Source organism: Homo sapiens, chromosome 4 (assembly GCF_000001405.40).
Source record: "Homo sapiens chromosome 4, GRCh38.p14 Primary Assembly".
Taxonomy (NCBI): domain Eukaryota; kingdom Metazoa; phylum Chordata; class Mammalia; order Primates; family Hominidae; genus Homo; species Homo sapiens.
Window position 1 is genome coordinate 138,921,382 of NC_000004.12, and position 17,892 is coordinate 138,939,273.

Sequence of the window (17,892 nt, forward strand, 5' to 3'; positions counted from 1 at the left end):
TATATAACACATTAACAATCTATATAATCAAACTAATTATTTGTTATTGGCACTAAAATAGCTGGTGTTATACGTGGCTGTGTGGCACACATGAAGTTTACTTTAGTGGAAGGTGTTCGGGGTAGGAAAGAACCACAATTATTTTTCTTTTCATACAAAGTCATGTAATTAATCATTTCATTTAGAATAATGGTACATTAAAAGTTTAAATTGATAAGTCTAGGTATTTTGAATGTTGCCATAATTTTACAGGTGATAAAAGAGGCTCAAAATGTTCATGATTTGGTCAGGCATGGTGGCTCACACCTGTAATCTCAGTGCTTTGGGAGGCTGAGGTGGGTGGATCACCTGAGGTCAGGAGTTCGAGACCAGCCTGGCCAACATGGCAAAACCCTGTCTATAGTAAAAATACAAAAATTAGCTGGGCATCGTGGCGCGTGCCTGTAATCCCAGCTACTAGGGGGGCTGAGGCAGGAGGATTGCTTGAATCTGAGAGGCATAGGTTGCTGTGAGCCGAGATCGTGCCACTGCACTCCAGCCTGGGCAACAGAGTGAGACTCTGTCTCAAAAAAAAAAAAAAAAAAAAAATAGAAAGAAAGAAAAGTTTATGATTTTTTTTTACAGTTGTGCATTTTAATTTCCTATTTTTCCCCTGTGGATTCACAAAGGAAATCATGCTAGAAAAAAAGATGTCATCTTAAAGCTGAATGGAAGCCTGGCCAACATGGTGAAACCCTGTCTCTACTAAAAATGCAAAAATTAGCCGGGTGTGGTGGTGCACCCCTGTAATCCCAGCTACTCAGGAGGCTGAGGCAGGAGAATTACTTGAACCCGGAGGCAGAGGCTGCAGTGAGCCAAGATCGTGCCACTGTGCTCCAGCCTGGGTGACAGAGCGAGACCCCATCTCGAAAAATAAAAAAATTTAAAAACATTTTTTTTAAAGCTGAATAGATCTTAGTTTCTCTTCAGCAAAAGCTATAAAAATTTGAGAATCTTGAAAGTCCAGAAGCTTGAGTCTATGTTTTTCTCTGTTGTGTCCCCATTTCCTGGTCCAAAATCTGGCATATAGTAGATGCTCAATAGGTCTTTTTGGAAAGAAAGTAATAACAACATGAGGGTTGAGCCAGATAGGCCCTTTCAGGCAGTATCCGCCATGAGACTGATGGGGCTGGGGGAGCATTTAGGAAAGGCATGAAAACCAGGTGCACATCAGAGCACCCAGAGATGGGCATCCTCCCAGAAATTGAAATGTGCAGTGCAAGGACATGCCCATGGAGATGCCCATGGGAAGAATGCCAAGCAGAGGCCAGGAAGGTGCCTGGAGAGACAGGCCATCCGTACCACAGGGAGAGAACACACATAGGACTTCATAGGAGCCCAGACTGATTATTCTGAATTTAATATTTGCTTAAGTTTTGAAATTCATCTTAATCATAAAACCCTAAAATAGAAAGGAAAATCTAAAGGATACATCATCCCGGTGATAAAATCAGCACCAATTCTAACCTTATCATCCAGAATCCAGACATTTAAAAAATAACAGAGCCTAACGTAAAAGGGGACAGACAAGAGAAATCAGAAATTATTCTCTGGACCCAGTGATTCCCTCAAATTGTCCCCCATTTACTTTCCAATATCTGCAATGAGCAAGTGTACACTCTCTAAGTGACCAAAGCAGACACTCGGGTTTGCACTCCCTGATTTTTTGATCGAATTGCTTCCCACAGTGGATGTCCTCACTGATATTACTTTCTATGTTTCTGCTAATAGAATAAGAAATGTACTAATAGTATATAAAGAAGCTTTATTACTAATTTGGAAATTCTTACGACTCTGAATTATAATCTTAGAAAATCACTGCAATTGAAATATTTTAGTCTGGCCATTAAACTTTGGTTAACAAAGATTAATAAGTGCCCTTGTAACACCAGGTAATACAGCCAAAAGGAAAAAAAAAGGTGTGAGTGCAATGATTGAGATATGTGTAGGGGTATTATGGAAGCAGCTAAGAGGAGTCTCTACCCAGTTTAAGGGGTGAGGAGGAAAGAAATGAGGAGAGGAGATTTCCTGGAAGACCCAGTTGAGCCTAAAAGCTTCCTCCCACCCCATGCCAGATCAGCTCTCATTTTCATTTGTATCTGGAAACTAATTGACCATTTTGAAAGGAGTGAATAAGCTCAGGCACAATGGCTCACACCTGTAATCCCAGCACTTTGGGAGGCCGAGGTGGGCAAATCACAAGGTCAGGGGTTTGAGACCAACCTGGCCAATATAGTGAAACGCCGTCTCTACTAAAAATACAAAAAAATTAGCTGGGAGTGGTGGTGGGCGCCTGTAATCCCAGCTACTCGGGAGGCTGAGGCAAGAGAATCGTCTGAACCCAGGAGTCATAGGTTGCAGTGAGCCAAGATTGCATCACTGCACTCCAGTCTGGGTGACAGAGCAGGACTCTGTCTCAAAAAAAAAAAAAAAAAAAGGAGTGAATAAATCTGAATGCTGACTATTGTCTAAACCCAAGGAACGGGGGTTGTCATTGAGACCTTCCAAACACTGCAAAGACTACACCACTGTTATACAACCTATGATCAGAGGTCACATCGAAGCAAATTGAATAATCAAAGTAATCAATTTGAAAAAGATTTTTATTTCTTCAAAGCAATGTAAGAAAAAAGGAGGCGGGCATGGTGGCTCATGCCTGTAATCTCAGCACTTTTGGAGGCAGGAGGATCACTTGAGGCCAGAAGTTCAAGACTAGCCTGGCCAAAATGGCAAAACCCTGTCTCTACTAAAAATACAAAAATTAGCGAGGCATGGTGTGAGCTTGAGAGGCTGGAGCACAAGAATTGCTTGAACCAGGGAGATGGAGGTTGCAGTGAGCCGAGATTACACCACTGCACTCCAGCCTGGGCGACAGAGTGAGACTCTCTCTCAAAACTAAAGGGAAAAAGAAAGAAAATAAAAAGAAAAAAAGGAGATTCTAGCACTTTTGGAGGCCAAGGTAGACAGGTCACTTGAGCCCAGGAGTTCAAGACCAGCCTGGACAACACAGCAAAACCCTTTCTCTACAAAAAATACAAAAATTGGCAGAGTGTGGTGGCATGTGCCAGTAGTCCCAGCTATGCAGGTGGGTTGAGATGGGAGGATCGCCTGAGCCCAGAGAGGTCGAGGTTGCAGTGAGCCACGATCACACCACTCCACTCCAGCCTGGGCAACAGAGTGAGACCCTGTCTCAAAAAAAAAAAAAAAAAGAAAAAAGAAGGAGGTGGGGGAGGAAGAGGAGTAGAAGAGGAAGTAGAAGGGGGAGAATAAGCAAGTCTCCCAGCAGGAAGGACCTGGAAATGTTACCTTATACAGAGAAACTTTCTTTCTATAAATGTATGTGTCCACCATCATCAGAATTTACAGAGGCCCATCATCATAAACCCAAGCACTTTTCATTATTTTTATCAGAGAAATGGAGGGCGCTTACACTGGTAAGTGCTTTAAAATTTCCTGAGCAATGATCCTAAGTGCAAGAAGATGTTATTATGTCCTGTGCCTCCTTCCTCTGACGTTTAAGGCGCTCTTGGGAGAATGGCAAATGTTGGGAATACATTAGAATGATGTGAGGTCAAGGAAAATGGTGGCCAAATGTTGGTAAAGATATCTACAAACGATACCCATGTCATCTCTTCAAAAATACATTTCACTCAGACAGCAGCAAAAGAATTTTTGATGAGTTTGGAGAGAGAGAAGTAACACAATCGTCTGACAATAGCCTAAGCTTTCTTCCCTACCCTCTGTAGGGATCTATTAAGGACACAGGAAATGGAAAGAGCAGCTCAGTGTGTGATGAATGTCAGTTACTATTACATTTATTAAGCTCTTCTGCAAAGGCCTTGGGTATAGGTGGGTATGTAACAAGGAAAATACATAAATAAACAATCACCTGCATTCTAGGGTTATTTGTCTCTGCCTTCTTTGTGAACTTATTGAGACTTGGTGAGTTTACAAGAGAGATGCCAGAGAGTATAAAATGAATTTCTCACTGTGCCAATATGCTGAGCAAAACAAAAAAAAAGATTTGTGGCTTCCACCTGGGAGATCAGATGGATTAAGGTGTTCAATTCTTCACTTGTTGGTAGAGGAAAAAAAAATACTCAAATCTCCCTCACCTCAGTCTTTGTTTCTTAGCTTTGTTTCTTAGCTTTCTTAGCTTTGTTTATTTATGGATGGTTTTGTTCTGATTGGAAAGTCAGTAAGACTAAGATCCTCGACAGACCAGTGAGGAGAATATGAGAAGCCATGTATGGCCTTGCTTATAATAAACCATGCTGATCTGCAAGTCACCGGGGAAGAATGTTTGGTAAATGTTTGGAAAATGCAGACTTCCAAAGAAGTGATTACAGAGCCTTATGCTTGGATGGTGTCTTTTTTCTGGGAGCGTCTTCAAGCATTTTACAAACTTATCTAAAGGGTCCCTCACCAGTCATTGGAATGCACTTGTATCCAGGGTAGAATAAAGGCAACTGCTCAGCCAGAAAGCAAACATGCTTTCAGGAAGAAAAGTTATTTTGTAAGTGTACTTATGAAATGCTCCAAGTTTTCCCCTTTATCAGGGCATTTACGTATGAGAGAAGAGATGGGCTATGGGTATGGAGCTCAGGACTATCCTTATGGGGAGCAAGCTAGGGCATTTGACATGCAGCCCACACCCACACCCTTCATTGAAGCTATGAGCAAAAATGGGTTAAATTAAATGTCCTAGCCAGCTGGAAATGTATGCACATGTATAGAGAAAGGAGCTGGCTTGCAGAGGGGGCCATGTTATTAGGGAGATAGAAGACTATTGCGGGTTAACTACAAAGAGCTCAGATCCTTTTTCACACCAGCTGGCAGAGTCAGAGTCCCTTTCTTTTCTCCCCAGTGGTCTGATCCCTAAATCATGGCCCAGGCCCAGCTACCAGCAAGAATTCGTATGGTATCTCCACAGAACCAGCTTCCCGGGCTACAACCTACACAGTCCCACAGGCCCTCACTCAGAAGGCCCTGCACTTGATTTCATACTCCATTGTTGCCATCTTAAAATTCCTAATAATTTTATCTTTGAACTTGTGTTTTATAAGTGAAGTCTCATGGGACAAAGGAGAATGAGCGTGAGCAGAGGAGATACAATATGTGTGCATGCGCAGTAACACCATTCCTTGCCTCCCATTCACATATACCACCTGTGATGTCCCATGCAGAGAATTCTGGTGGACCCATGATGCATGAAAGTTCAGTGTAACTCAGTGATAGGTGACCCCCTACCCCACAACCCAGCCAAGAGGCCGTGCTTTCCCTTTGAACCAGTTTAGCTTGAAAGAATCAATACTGTTTAAGCAAAAAGAACAACCAAGGAACCCTACCATATTCTTTCTCACTCATGTTACATCGCTATATTAGCCAACCACACTGAAAAGGACATAGAAGGAAAGGGAAAGATGGGGCAACCCATAGTTCATTTTCCTTTCTCATCAGTTAAGCCAAAGGTAGTGATTTGTTGGTAGAGTGTGTCATATTAAGTCAGATTTTTACATAGACTGGAAAAAGTACAGTGTTTATTGGTCATTTTAAAAACTCTTACAAAACAATAAGAAAAAGATAAACGTTCCAATAAAAAACAGGTTTAGGGCACTAATACGCACATTACAAGAGAACTTCAAATGACCAACATTAAACATTATAAAATGTTTTTAACTTTGCTAATAATTAAAGAAATACAAATAAAAACAACAGTGATCAAAAATTTTCTACTCAGAAGTTTAGAAAAGATGAAAATGAAAATATCAGCACCCAGTACAAACCTAAAGTGGAAAGCAACTGGAAAAGAGCTTGACTACACTGATCAAAATATGAAATGACTCAGCAATAACATTGCCAGGAAACTGCTAAAGAGACATAGGGACATTTATAAAGATGAATATGCAAGGCTGTTCACTATAGCATTGTTTAGCATATCTAAAAATTGAAATAACCTCAATGTTGATCCATAGGTGCTGTGGTCTGAATGTTTGTTTCCTCTCAGCATTCATGTTGAAATTCTGACCCCCAAGGTGATGATATTAGGAGGTGGAGCCTTTGGGAGGTGATCAGACTATGAGGATAGAGCCCTTGTGAATGGGCTTAGTGCCCTTATAAAAAAGGCCTGAGAGAGACCCCTCACTTCTTCCACCATGTGAGGACACAATGAGAAGATATCATCCGCAAACCAGAAAGTGGGTCCTCACCAGATACCAAATTTGTGAGTGTCTTGATCTTGGACTTCCCAGCCTCCAGAAGTGTGGGAAATAAATAAATACATTTATATTGTTTATAGACTATCCAGTTTATAATATTTTATTATAGCAGCCCAAACAGACTAAGACAATAGGGTATACGTTAAATCAATCACAGTACATCTATGTTTGCAGTTGTTAAAAAAGAATTAGATCACTGTCAGGCCTCTGAGCCCAAGCTAAGCCATCATATCCCCTGTGACCTGCACGTACACATCCAGATGACCAGTTCCTGCCTTAACTGATGACATTCCACCACAAAAGAAGTGAAAATGGCCTGTTCCTGCTTTAACTGATGACATTGTCTTGTGAAATTCCTTCTCCTGGCTCATCCTGGCTCAAAAGCTCCCCCACTGAGTACCTTGTGACCCCCCACTCCTGCCCGCCAGAGAACCCCCCTTTTTCCTTTACCTACCCAAATCCTATAAAACGGCCCCACCCCTATCTCCCTTCACTGACTCTCTTTTCGGACTCAGCCCACCTGCACCCAGGTGAAGTAAACAGCTTTATTGCTCACACAAATCCTGCTTGGTGGTCTTTTCACACAGACGTGCATGAAATTTGGTGCCGTGACTCGGATCGGGGGACCTCCCTTGGGAGATCAATCCTCTGTCCTCCTGTTCTTTGCTTGGTGAGAAAGATCCACCTACGACCTCAGGTCCTCAGACCAACCAGCCCAAGAAACATCTCACCAATTTTAAATCAGGTAAGCGGCCTCTTCTTACTCTCTTCTCCAACCTCTCTCACTATCCCTCAACCACTTTCTCCTTTCCACTCTTCAATCTCTCCCTTCTCTTAATTTCAATTCCTTTCATTTTCTGGCAGAGACAAAGGAGACAGGTTTTATCTGTGGACCCAAAACTCCGGTGCCGGTCACGGACTAGGGAAGGCAGCCTTCCCTTGGTGTTTAATCATTGCAGGGACGCCTCTCTGATTATTCACCCAGGTTTCAGAGGTGTCAGACCACGCAGGGACACCTGCCTTGGTCCTTCACCCTTAGCGGCAAGTCCCGCTTTTCTGGGGAAGGGGCAAGTACCCCAACCCCTTCTCTCCGTGTCTCTACCCCTTCTCCACCTTTCTGGGGGGGCAAGAAACCCCCAACCCCTTCTCCTTCACCCTTAGCAGCAAGTCCTGCTTTTCTGGGGGAGGGGCAAGTACCCCAACCTCATATCTCTGTGTCCCAATCCCTTATTTCTGCACCCCGACCTCTTATCTCTGTGCCCCAATCCCTTATTTCCATGCCCCGACCCCTTATATCTCTTTGCCCTGATCCCTTATTTCCGCACCCCAACCTCTTATATTCTCTGCACCCCAATCCCTTATGTCCATGCCCTGACCTCGTATTTCTGTGCCCCGACCCCTTTCCCACTTTTCTGGAGGGTAAGAACCCCTGAACCCCTTCCCCCCGTGTCTCTACTCTCTTTTCTCTGGGCTTGCCTCCTTCACTATGGGCAACCTTCCACCCTCCATTCCTCCTTCTTTTCCCTTAGCCTGTGTTCTTAAGAACTTAAAACCGCTTCAACTCTCACTTGACCTAAAATCTAAGCATCTTATTTTCTTCTGCATTGCCACTTGACCCCAATACAAACTCGACAGTAGTTCCAAATAGCCAGAAAACGGCACTTTGAATTTTTCCATCCTGCAAGATCTAAATAATTCTTATCGTAAAGTAGGCAAACAGTCTGAGGTGCCTGACGTCCAGGCATTCTTTTACACATCGGTCCCTTCCTAGTCTCTGTGCCCAATGCAACTCGTCCCAAATCTTCCTTCTTTCCCTCCCACCTGCCCCCCTCAGTCCCAACCCCAAGCATCGCTGAGTCTTTCTAATCTTCCTTTTCTACAGACCCATCTGACCTCCCCTCCTCCCCAGGCTGCTCCTCGCCAGGCGGAGCTAGGTCCCAATTCTTCCTCAGCCTCTGCTCCTCCACCCTATAATCCTTTTATCACCTCCCCTCCTCATACCCGGTCCGGCTTACAGTTTCATTTGACTAGCCACCCCCCGACCTGCCCAGCAATTTACTCTTAAAAAGGTGGCTGGAGCTAAAGGCATAGTCAAGGTTAATGCTCCTTTTTCTTTATCCCAAATCAGATAGCGTTTAGGCTCTTTTTCATCAAATATAAAAATCCAGCCCAGTTCATGACTCCTTTGGCAACAACCCTGAGACAGTTTACAGCCCTAGACCCTAAAAGGTCAAAAGGCCGTCTTATTCTCAAAATACGTTTTATTACCCAATCTGCTCCTGACATTAAATAAAACTCCAAAAATTAAATTCCGGCCCTCAAACCCCACAACAGGATTTAATTAGCCTCACCTTCAAGGTGTACAATAATAGAAAACAGTTGCAATTCCTTGCCTCCACTGTGAGACAAACCCCAGCCACATCTCCAGCACACAAGAACTTCCAAACACCTGAACCGCAGCAGCCAGGCGTTCCTCCAGAACCTCCTCCCCCAGTAGCTTGCTACAAGTGCCAGAAATCTGGCCACCAGGCCAAGGAATGCCTGCAGCCCAGGATTCCTCCTAAGCCGCTTCCCATCTGTGCAGGACCCCACTGGAAATTGGACTGTCCAACTCACCTGGCAGCCACTCCCAGAGCCCCTGGAACTCTGGCCCAAGGCTCTCTGACTCCTTCCCAGATCTTCTTGGCTTAGCAGCTGAAGACTGACGCTGCCTGATCACCTCAGAAGCCCCCTAGATCATCACGGACGCCGAGCTTTGGGTAACTCTCACAGTGGAGGGTAAGTACTTCCCCTTCTTAATACGGAGGCTACTCACTCCACATTACCTTATTTTCAAGGGCCGGTTTCCCTTGCCTCCATAACTGTTGTGGGTATTGACAGCCAGGCTTCTAAACCTCTTAAAACTCCCCAACTCTGGTGCCAACTTAGACAACACTCTTTTAAGCACTCCTTTTTAGTTATCCCCACCTGCCCAGTTCCCTTATTAGGCCGAGACACTTTAACTAAATTATCTGCTTCCCTGACTATTCCTGGACTACAGCTGCATCTCATTGCCGCCCTTCTTCCCAATCCAAAGCCTCCTTTGCGTCCTCCTCTTGTATCCCCCAACTTTAACCCACAAGTATAAGATACCTCTACTCCCTCCTTGGTGACCCATCATGCACCCCTTACCATCTCATTAAAACCTAATCACCCCTACCCCGCTCAATGCCAATATCCCATCCCACAGCATGCTTTAAAAGGATTAAAGCCTATTATCAATCACCTGCTACAGCATGGCCTTTTAAAGCCTATAAACTCTCCTTACAATTCCCCCATTTTACCTGTCCTAGAACCAGACAAGACTTACAGGTTACTTCAGGATCTGCGCCTTATCAACCAAATTGTTTTGCCTATCCACCCCGTGGTGCCAAACCCATATACTCTCCTATCCTCAATACCTCCCTCTACAACCCATTATTCTGTTCTGGATCTCAAATATGCTTTCTTTACTATTCCTCTGCACCCTTTATCCCAGCCTCTCTTTGCTTTCACTTGGACTGACCCTGACGCCCATTAGGCTCAGCAAATTACCTGGGCTGTACTGCCGCAAGGCTTCACAGACAGCCCCCATTACTTCAGTCAAGCCCAAATTTCATCCTCATCTGTTACCTATCTCGGCATAATTCTCATAAAAACACATGTGCTCTGCCTGCTGATCGTGTCCGACTAATCGCCCAAACCTCAATCCCTTACAAAACAACAACTCCTTTCCTTCCTAGGCACAGTTAGTGCGGTCAGAATTCTTACACAAGAGCCAGGACTGCACCCTGTAGCCTTTCTGTCCAAACAACTTGACCTTACTGTTTTAGCCTAGCCATCATATCTCAGTGCAGCGGCTGCTGCCGCCCTAATACTTTTAGAGGCCCTCAAAATCACAAACTATGCTCAACTTACTCTCTACATTTCTCATAACTTCCAAAATCTATTTTCTTCCTCATACCTGACGCATATACTTTCTGCTCCCCAGCTCCTTCAGCTGTACTCACTCTTTGTTAAGTTCCACAATTACCATTGTTCCTGGCCGGGACTTCAATCCGGCCTCCCACATTATTCCTGATACCACACCTGGCCCTCATGACTGCATCTCTCTGATCCACCTGACGTTCACCCCATTTCCCCGCATTTCCTTCTTCCCTGTTTCTCACCCTGATCGCACTTAGTTTATTGATGGCAGTTCCACCAGGCCTAATCGCCACACACCAGCAAAGGCAGGCTATGCTATAGTACAAGTCACTAGCCCGCCTCTTAAAACCTCTCATTTCCTTTCCATCGTGGAAATCTATCCTCAAGGAAATAACTTCTCAGTGTTCCATCTGCTATTCTACTACTCCTCAAGGATTATTCAGGCCCCCCTCCCTTCCCTACACTTCAAGCTCGAGGATTTGCCCCCACCCAGGACTGGCAAATTAGCTTTACTCAACATGCCCCGAGTCAGATAACTAAAATACCTCTTAGTCTAGGTAGACACTTACACTGGATAGGTAGAGTCCTTTCCTACAGGGTCTGAGAAGGCCACCACAGTCATTTCTTCCCTTCTGTCAGACATAATTCCTCAGTTTAGCCTTCCCACCTCTATACAGTCTGATAACAGATCAGCCTTTATTAGTCAAATCAGCCAAGCAGTTTTTCAGGTGTTAGTATTCAGTGAAACCTTTATATCCCTTACAGTCCTCAGTCTTCAGGAAAAGTAGAACAGACTAATGGTCTTTTAAAAACACACCTCACCAAGCTCAGCCACCAACTTAAAAAGGACTGGACAATACTTTTACCACTTTCGCTTCTCAGAATTAAGGCCTGTCCTCGGAATGCTACAAGGTACAGCCCACTTGAGCTCCTTTTTATTAGGCCCCAGTCTCATTCCAGACACTAGACCAACTTGGACTGTGCCCCAAAAACTTGTCATCCCTACTGTCTTCTGTCTAGTCCTACTTCTATTCACCGTTCTCAACTACTCATACATGCCCTGCTCTTGTTTACACTGCCAGTTTACACTGTTTCTCCAAGCCAGCACAGCTGATATCTCCTGGTGTTATCCCCAAACCACCGCTCTTAACTCTTGAAGTAAATAAATAATTTTTGCTGGCAGGACTATGATGAATCTCCTAAGGCACTCTAATTATATGTCCTAGGTCCTCCCAATTCTTAGTCCTTTAATACCTGCTTTTCTCCTCTTATTCCATTTACTTTTTCAATTCATACAAAACCGTATCCAGGCCATCACCAATAATTCTACATGACAAGTGTTTCTTCTAACAACCCCACAATATCACCCCTTACCACAAGATCTCCCTTCAGCTTAATCTCTCCCACTCTAGGTTCCCACGCCACCCCTAATCCTGCTCGAAGTAGCCCTGAGAAACATCGCCCATTATCTCTCCATACCATCCCCCAAAATTTTCGCTGTCCAAACACTTTACCACTATTTCATTTTATTTTTCTTATTAATATAAGAAGACAGGAATGTCAGGCCTCTGAGCCCAAGCTAAGCCATCATATCCCCTGTGACCTGCACGTACACATCCAGATGACCAGTTCCTGCCTTAACTGATGACATTCCACCACAAAAGAAGTGAAAATGGCCTGTTCCTGCTTTAACTGATGACATTGTCTTGTGAAATTCCTTCTCCTGGCTCATCCTGGCTCAAAAGCTCCCCCACTGAGTTCCTTGTGACCCCCCACTCCTGCCCACCAGAGAACAACCCCCCTTTTTCCTTTACCTACCCAAATCCTATAAAACAGCCCCACCCCATCTCCCTTCGCTGACTCTCTTTTCGGACTCAGCCCACCTGCACCCAGGTGAAATAAACAGCTTTATTGCTCACACAAAGCCTGTTTGGTGGTCTCTTCACACGGATGCGCATGAAATTCACTTTATATCCACTGACCTGGAAAATGTACACAATACAGTGTAAAACTTTTTAAAGCAAATTATAGAAGATAAAATGATCGCATCTGGGAAAATATGTGTGTACATTTTTTTTTTTTTACTAGTCCTGTCTCATCCTAGGGAGATCATAAAGTTACCTTTGGGAGGTAGAATTAATTGGGGACAAGAATGAATAAATGAGATGACTTTTCACTTCATGCCTTCTGCAATGTTTAGGAAAAAAACATTTCAGAGCATGTCTTTCTGATAATTTGTTTTAAAAAATCACATTAAGATAAAATCATTTACTGCACATTGACCGGGCACGGTGGCTCATGCCTGTAATCCCAGCACTTTGGGAGGCCAAGATGGGCAGATCACGAGGTCAGGAGATCAAGACCATCCTGGCTAACATGGTGAAACCCCGTCTCTACTAAAAATACAAAAAATTAGCCGGGCGTGGTGGTGGGCACCTGTAGTCCCAGCTACTTGGGAGGCTGAGGCAGGAGAATTGCTGGAACCCAGGAGGCAGAGGTCGCAGTGAGCCGAGATCGCACCACTGCACTCCAGCCTGGGCGACAGAGCGAGACTCCATCTCAAAAAAAAAAAAAAAGAAAAAAACATTTACTGCACATCTGTACAATGAATATTAAGTGACCATTAAAAATGATGATGTTGGCCAGGGGCATGCCCCAAGCTCGTAATCTCAGCACTTTGGGAGGTCAAAGCAGGCAGATCTCTTGAGCTCAGGAATTCAAGACCAGCCTGGGCAACATGGTAAAACTATCTCTACAAAAAAACAGAAAACAGCCAGGCAAGGTGGCACACGCCTGTGGTCCCAGTTACTTGAGGGGATGAGAAGGGAAGATGGCTTGACCCCGGGAGGTCCAGGCTCCAGTGAGCCATGTTTGCACCACTGCACTCCAGCCTGGGTGACAAAGTGAGACTCCATCTCAAAAACAGAAAAGGTTAATGCCGTAATCTATACATATTGACCTCAAAATGTGGCCACAACATATATTTCTGAAAAAAAGAAAAGAGGTTACTGAACAATATATGTAAGACAAACACGTTTGCATAAAATTCTGCATCTGTTGAGAGAACAGTGTCAGCTGTCTGAAAAGATGTTCCTCAAATATTGATAGTAGTTATTGCTGGGTAGTGTTACTTTTAGTGATTTTTACTTTCTTTATACTTTTCTGTGCTATGTAATTTTTTTTACAATGAGTGTATAACCTTTTTCTAAATCAGAAAAAAAATCTATTTCTATTTTGAAAGTTTTAATATGTGCTAGGAAAATAAGAAGAGTAAGAACGTTTCACAAAATGAATAAAAAGTAATTTCTTCCTGATTCCCAGTAGTATCTCTAAAGTCAGCACCAATAAGGATCATAACTTAGAACTGCATATTTTCTGAGTTGAATCTTTTTGCCCCAATTTTGCTAACTATACTAAAAACAGTATTTCAAATTCCCCCCACCACAGAGAAAATACAAGTTCATCCCTAATCTATTCAGCAAATTCAACCCCAACCAGGGGTTTCTTCCTAAACTAATTTATTCTTAACTTTTTCATTTATCTCCCAAGCACTATGTTTGATGTTTAAAAAGAAAAAGCACTGACTTGACCTAATATTAGTACTACATGAATGTGCAGGTTTATTTTCCCAATTTTGTCCTGATGGCAGTAATTATTTCAGAACCTTGCTAAGTCTTACTTGCTTATCAGTCTTTCCAATAATTCTTACCAGCAAAACTGGCAGTTTTATCCTTCTTTTCAACAGAGATTTAGAGGCCAAGAACTATAGTGAATTCTCACCTGACAAAGCGTTTATTGCCTTTTTCAAAATATACTGCAGGACGTTTATTAGTAGACTATGAAGTATTTATCACCAGTAATTAAAAATAAGCTGTACTTGTTGGAATAAATGCAGAGTCAGAGATGCAATACTATTACTTTTTATTGTTTATTTGCTCTTCTTTTAACCTAATATAAAAATTCCTTTACTAACGTGCTAAGGCATTTATCTTAAGGCTGATGTTAAACAAACCTGTTTGCATTTTACTAAGCAGACAAGGAAAGCATCAGAAGTCACTATAAAAAGATTTCTAAGGCAACAGTGAGAAGATCCAGGAATGTTTGTGCACTGCTAGTAGAAATAAAGGCAAATTGACCTTTAAAAGATAAGAAGGTAATCTGCAACATAGAGCAACCACGTTCTCATCCTTTAACCTAAAAATTCCACTTATAATTTGTATCCTAAAAACTAATCATAAATATACAAAAGTGATAGCTACAAGATTGTTTAACCATTGGAACTTAGTTTTTTAAATTTTCCGAATAACAAAACACCTTGCAGCCATTAAAAATAGTGTTGCAGAAGAATATTTAATTACAAAGAAAAATAGGAGACAAGGAGTTTATAATATGCATATGCACAACATGATTGCAAGTTATAGCTTAGATAAATAGACAGATAGAGATCAGAACTAGAAATATATCAATCAAGCATTAATAAGTCACCAAAACATAAATGTTGAAATCTCTGGAGGATGGAATTATGGGTGGGGTGTATACTCTTCTGTGTGCCCATCTGTATTTTCCAAATTCTTACAATGTATGTGTGCTACTTTTGTAATGGGAGAAGTTCTTATTAAGAGATAGTAAGTGCCCTCTAGAAGCTTGTTGAATGAATGAATTCAATTTCTTTTTTATATCTCTCTCCTGCTTTGAGGACTCTCCATATATGTAAAGTTGTCATTTGAGAAGAAAAAGCTTTAGCTGTAATTCAAACTTAGTCTCACTGAGACCTGTATAAGTAGACCAAAACTTGTTTCAAAACGTCATCACATACATACACACACATAAAAATTGAGCATATCACATTCTAATACCAGCTAAATAATGTCAAATTATAATTTTAAAATAATGATTAAGGGGTAGCCACAAGTGATTCAGCTTCACCAAAGACTAAAACATATTTGAGTATTCTCCTAAATTCAAAGCATATATAATGATCTAAAATGCAGTAGGCATAATTTCTTGTAAAACCTCACAATTTTTATTTGTATGTACACACACATAGGTGCAAAGCAGACCCCAAGGTTATTTGAATTTATCTTTGCTACATGAGTTCTTGTTACAAGCATAACTGACCCACTGTCTTAGTTCATTTCGTGTTGCTATAAGGGCATCTCTGAGGCTGGGTAAGTTATAAAGAAAAGGAAGTTTATTTGGTTCACGATTCTGATGGCTAGAAAGCTCAAGATTGGGCATTTGCATCTGGTGAGGGCCTCAGGCTGCTTCCACTCATAGCGGAGGACAAAGGGGAGCTGGCATGTGCAGAGATCACATAGAGAGAAAGGATGAAAATGGGGTGGGGCGTGCCAGGCTCTTTTTAACAACGAGCTGTCTCAAGAACTAATAGAGGGAGAACTCCCTCCCACGGGAGGGCATTACTCTATTCATGAGAGACCCACCCCATGACCCAAACACCTCCCATTAGGCTCCACCTCCAACAGTGGGGGTCACATTTCAACGCGAGGTTTGGAGGGAACAAAGATCCAAGCCACAGCACCCGCAGATTTTTAGGAAGTAGAAAACAATTCCATTCACACCTGAAATGTCAGGCCCATACTTTAAACTGTCATGTTATCTATTGTCATTTTGAGGATATTATTGTTTTAGTAAGGTTAGGGATGAGATTTGCCTTCAATTTGTATCTTAAAAGTTTAAATTACAGCCTGGGTGCAGTGGCTCCTGCCTGTAATCCCAGCACTTTGGAAGGCCGAGGTGGGCGGATCACCTGAGGTCGGGAGTTTGAGAACAGCCTGACCAATGTGGAGAAACCCCGTCTCTACTAAAAATACAAAATTAGCCAGGCATGGTGGCACATGCCTGTAATCCCAGCTATTCAGAAGACTGAGGCAGGAGAATCGCTTGAACCTGGGAAGCAGAAGTTGTGGTGAGCCAAGATCACGCCATTGCATTCCAGCCTGGGCAACAAGAGCAAAATTCTGTCTCAAAAAAAAAAAAAAAAAAAAAAAAAAAAAAAAGGTTTAAATTACTTAAAATGAAAAGCAGTTCTGGAATTCCTGGCCAATTCATATGCCCCAGGGTTTACCAAAGCCACGTAGAACAATATCACAGTGAACCACTAAAATGATCCCTACTTCCCTTTAAAGTTTTTAAATTGTAAAGAAGTTTTGTCACTTAGGGGGCATCTGTGGCGTAAAAATCAAGACAGAATTTAAATAAAGTAATACCACACTAACTTGCCTCGTCCTCTGTTTCTGGGAAAACTCTTGAGTCTGCCTTGAGGAGTAAAAGGCGACATGCCAGTCATCCATGAAATGCTGCTTATTGTTTTAGCTTGAGCAACCTGAAAATAAAGAACTTCCTTTCTGCACTGGTATTTCTTTAGTTTTCTTTCACCTTGGCAATCCAATTAGAAGGTTCGCATGTATGTTTCATGATTGAAAATGCCTGTTAAATCAAGAAAATGAAATTTAAGTCATCAATGCTTCCTTTATACGCAAAGGGTCCTTTCTGAGGTATTGTTGAGAGGGCTGGATGTGGGATTTCCCTGCATCTCTGGGAACAGCTTTAAATGCCAGCCCCCTCCTGAGGCTCTGTCCTTTGCTGAGGAAATAATTTCAGAGGCAAACTATATTTCAGCACAGCTCCACACCTGTCTAAATCACCATGCCACAAGGCTGGAGAGAGAAAAGACTACTACTGACTTTACTCCTCTTTCCTTTAACGAGTTTTGAAGGGTTTCTTTTTACCAAAGAAATAATGAACGCCTCTTGCAAACTGTGGGGGAAAATGTTCTATTTGGAAGTAATTGAAAATATGTTTTGCAGCTACTTACGAACCCTTTTCCAAATAGCTTTCTTTTCTAATTAACTCACCACAGTGCTTAGCTCTGAAATTCGGTGGGTAGAGAGTGACATCTAGTGTGTTGAAAAAGAACTTGAAACACGAAAGTTGGGTGAGGGCAGAAGACCTAGGTTTATAACTATGACTCCTAAATGCTTCCCTTCTAGTATAATAATTGCCAGATGGAAATGCAAGGTTGCTATCATGGAAGTTTCATGAGTGTTTGAAATTATGAGAAAGATTGTTTTCTCTTTAGATATTTAGAGAACTGTGGATGTTTTAAGGTACACTTTGTCTAAAGAAGCCTATAGTCCTAAAAGTAATTTGTGTGAGGACAAGGTGGGGTCATAACACCTAAGAGATGAAATATGGTTTCTCCCTGAGGTCAGAAAAGTAATTTTCACTTTAAAGTTAAAGTGGAAGGGATCAGGGATGATCAGCTGCCCCTGAACTCTAGTAGCTTGTCATCATGGGGATTTTTTCAGGCTTTGCAGGTAGACAGTTCAAACCTGATTCAGGAGGAAATAGTCACTGCCGATTTAACAGACGCAGGTGCCTAACATGAGCAATGTCCGTGCTGTGGTGACAACAGATGGAACAAGGCAAGTCCCTTCATCAAAACAGAAATAAAGTGCTAAAGAGGACTCCCAAAGAGAGGAGGCAATCATGTAGAAGGATCAGGAACTACTTGGTGTAGATGAATCGAATATGGATAAATATTTTTTTTTTTTTTTGAGAGGGAGTCTCGCTCTGTTGCCCAGGCTGGAGTGCAGTGGTGCGATCTCAGCTCACTGCAAGCTCTGCCTACCAGGTTCACACCATTCTCCTGCCTCAGCCTCCCGAGTAG

General features: G+C 42.5%; 1 long non-coding RNA gene across 1 annotated transcript in view, besides 1 other annotated feature; it reads right to left on the minus strand.

Annotated features, from left to right (window-relative positions):
• Positions 1–17,892, minus strand: part of LOC105377448 (uncharacterized) — a 192,690-nt gene that overhangs the window by 101,425 nt on the left and 73,373 nt on the right. The window lies entirely within an intron of this gene.
• Positions 11,581–12,135: an enhancer, noted in NCBI's record as "OCT4-NANOG hESC enhancer chr4:139854116-139854670 (GRCh37/hg19 assembly coordinates)". NCBI's record gives its function as "activates a minimal SCP1, AML or CMV promoter by ChIP-STARR-seq in primed H9 embryonic stem cells {active_cell/tissue: H9 hESC(primed)}" and the evidence as "EXISTENCE:reporter gene assay evidence [ECO:0000049][PMID:30033119]".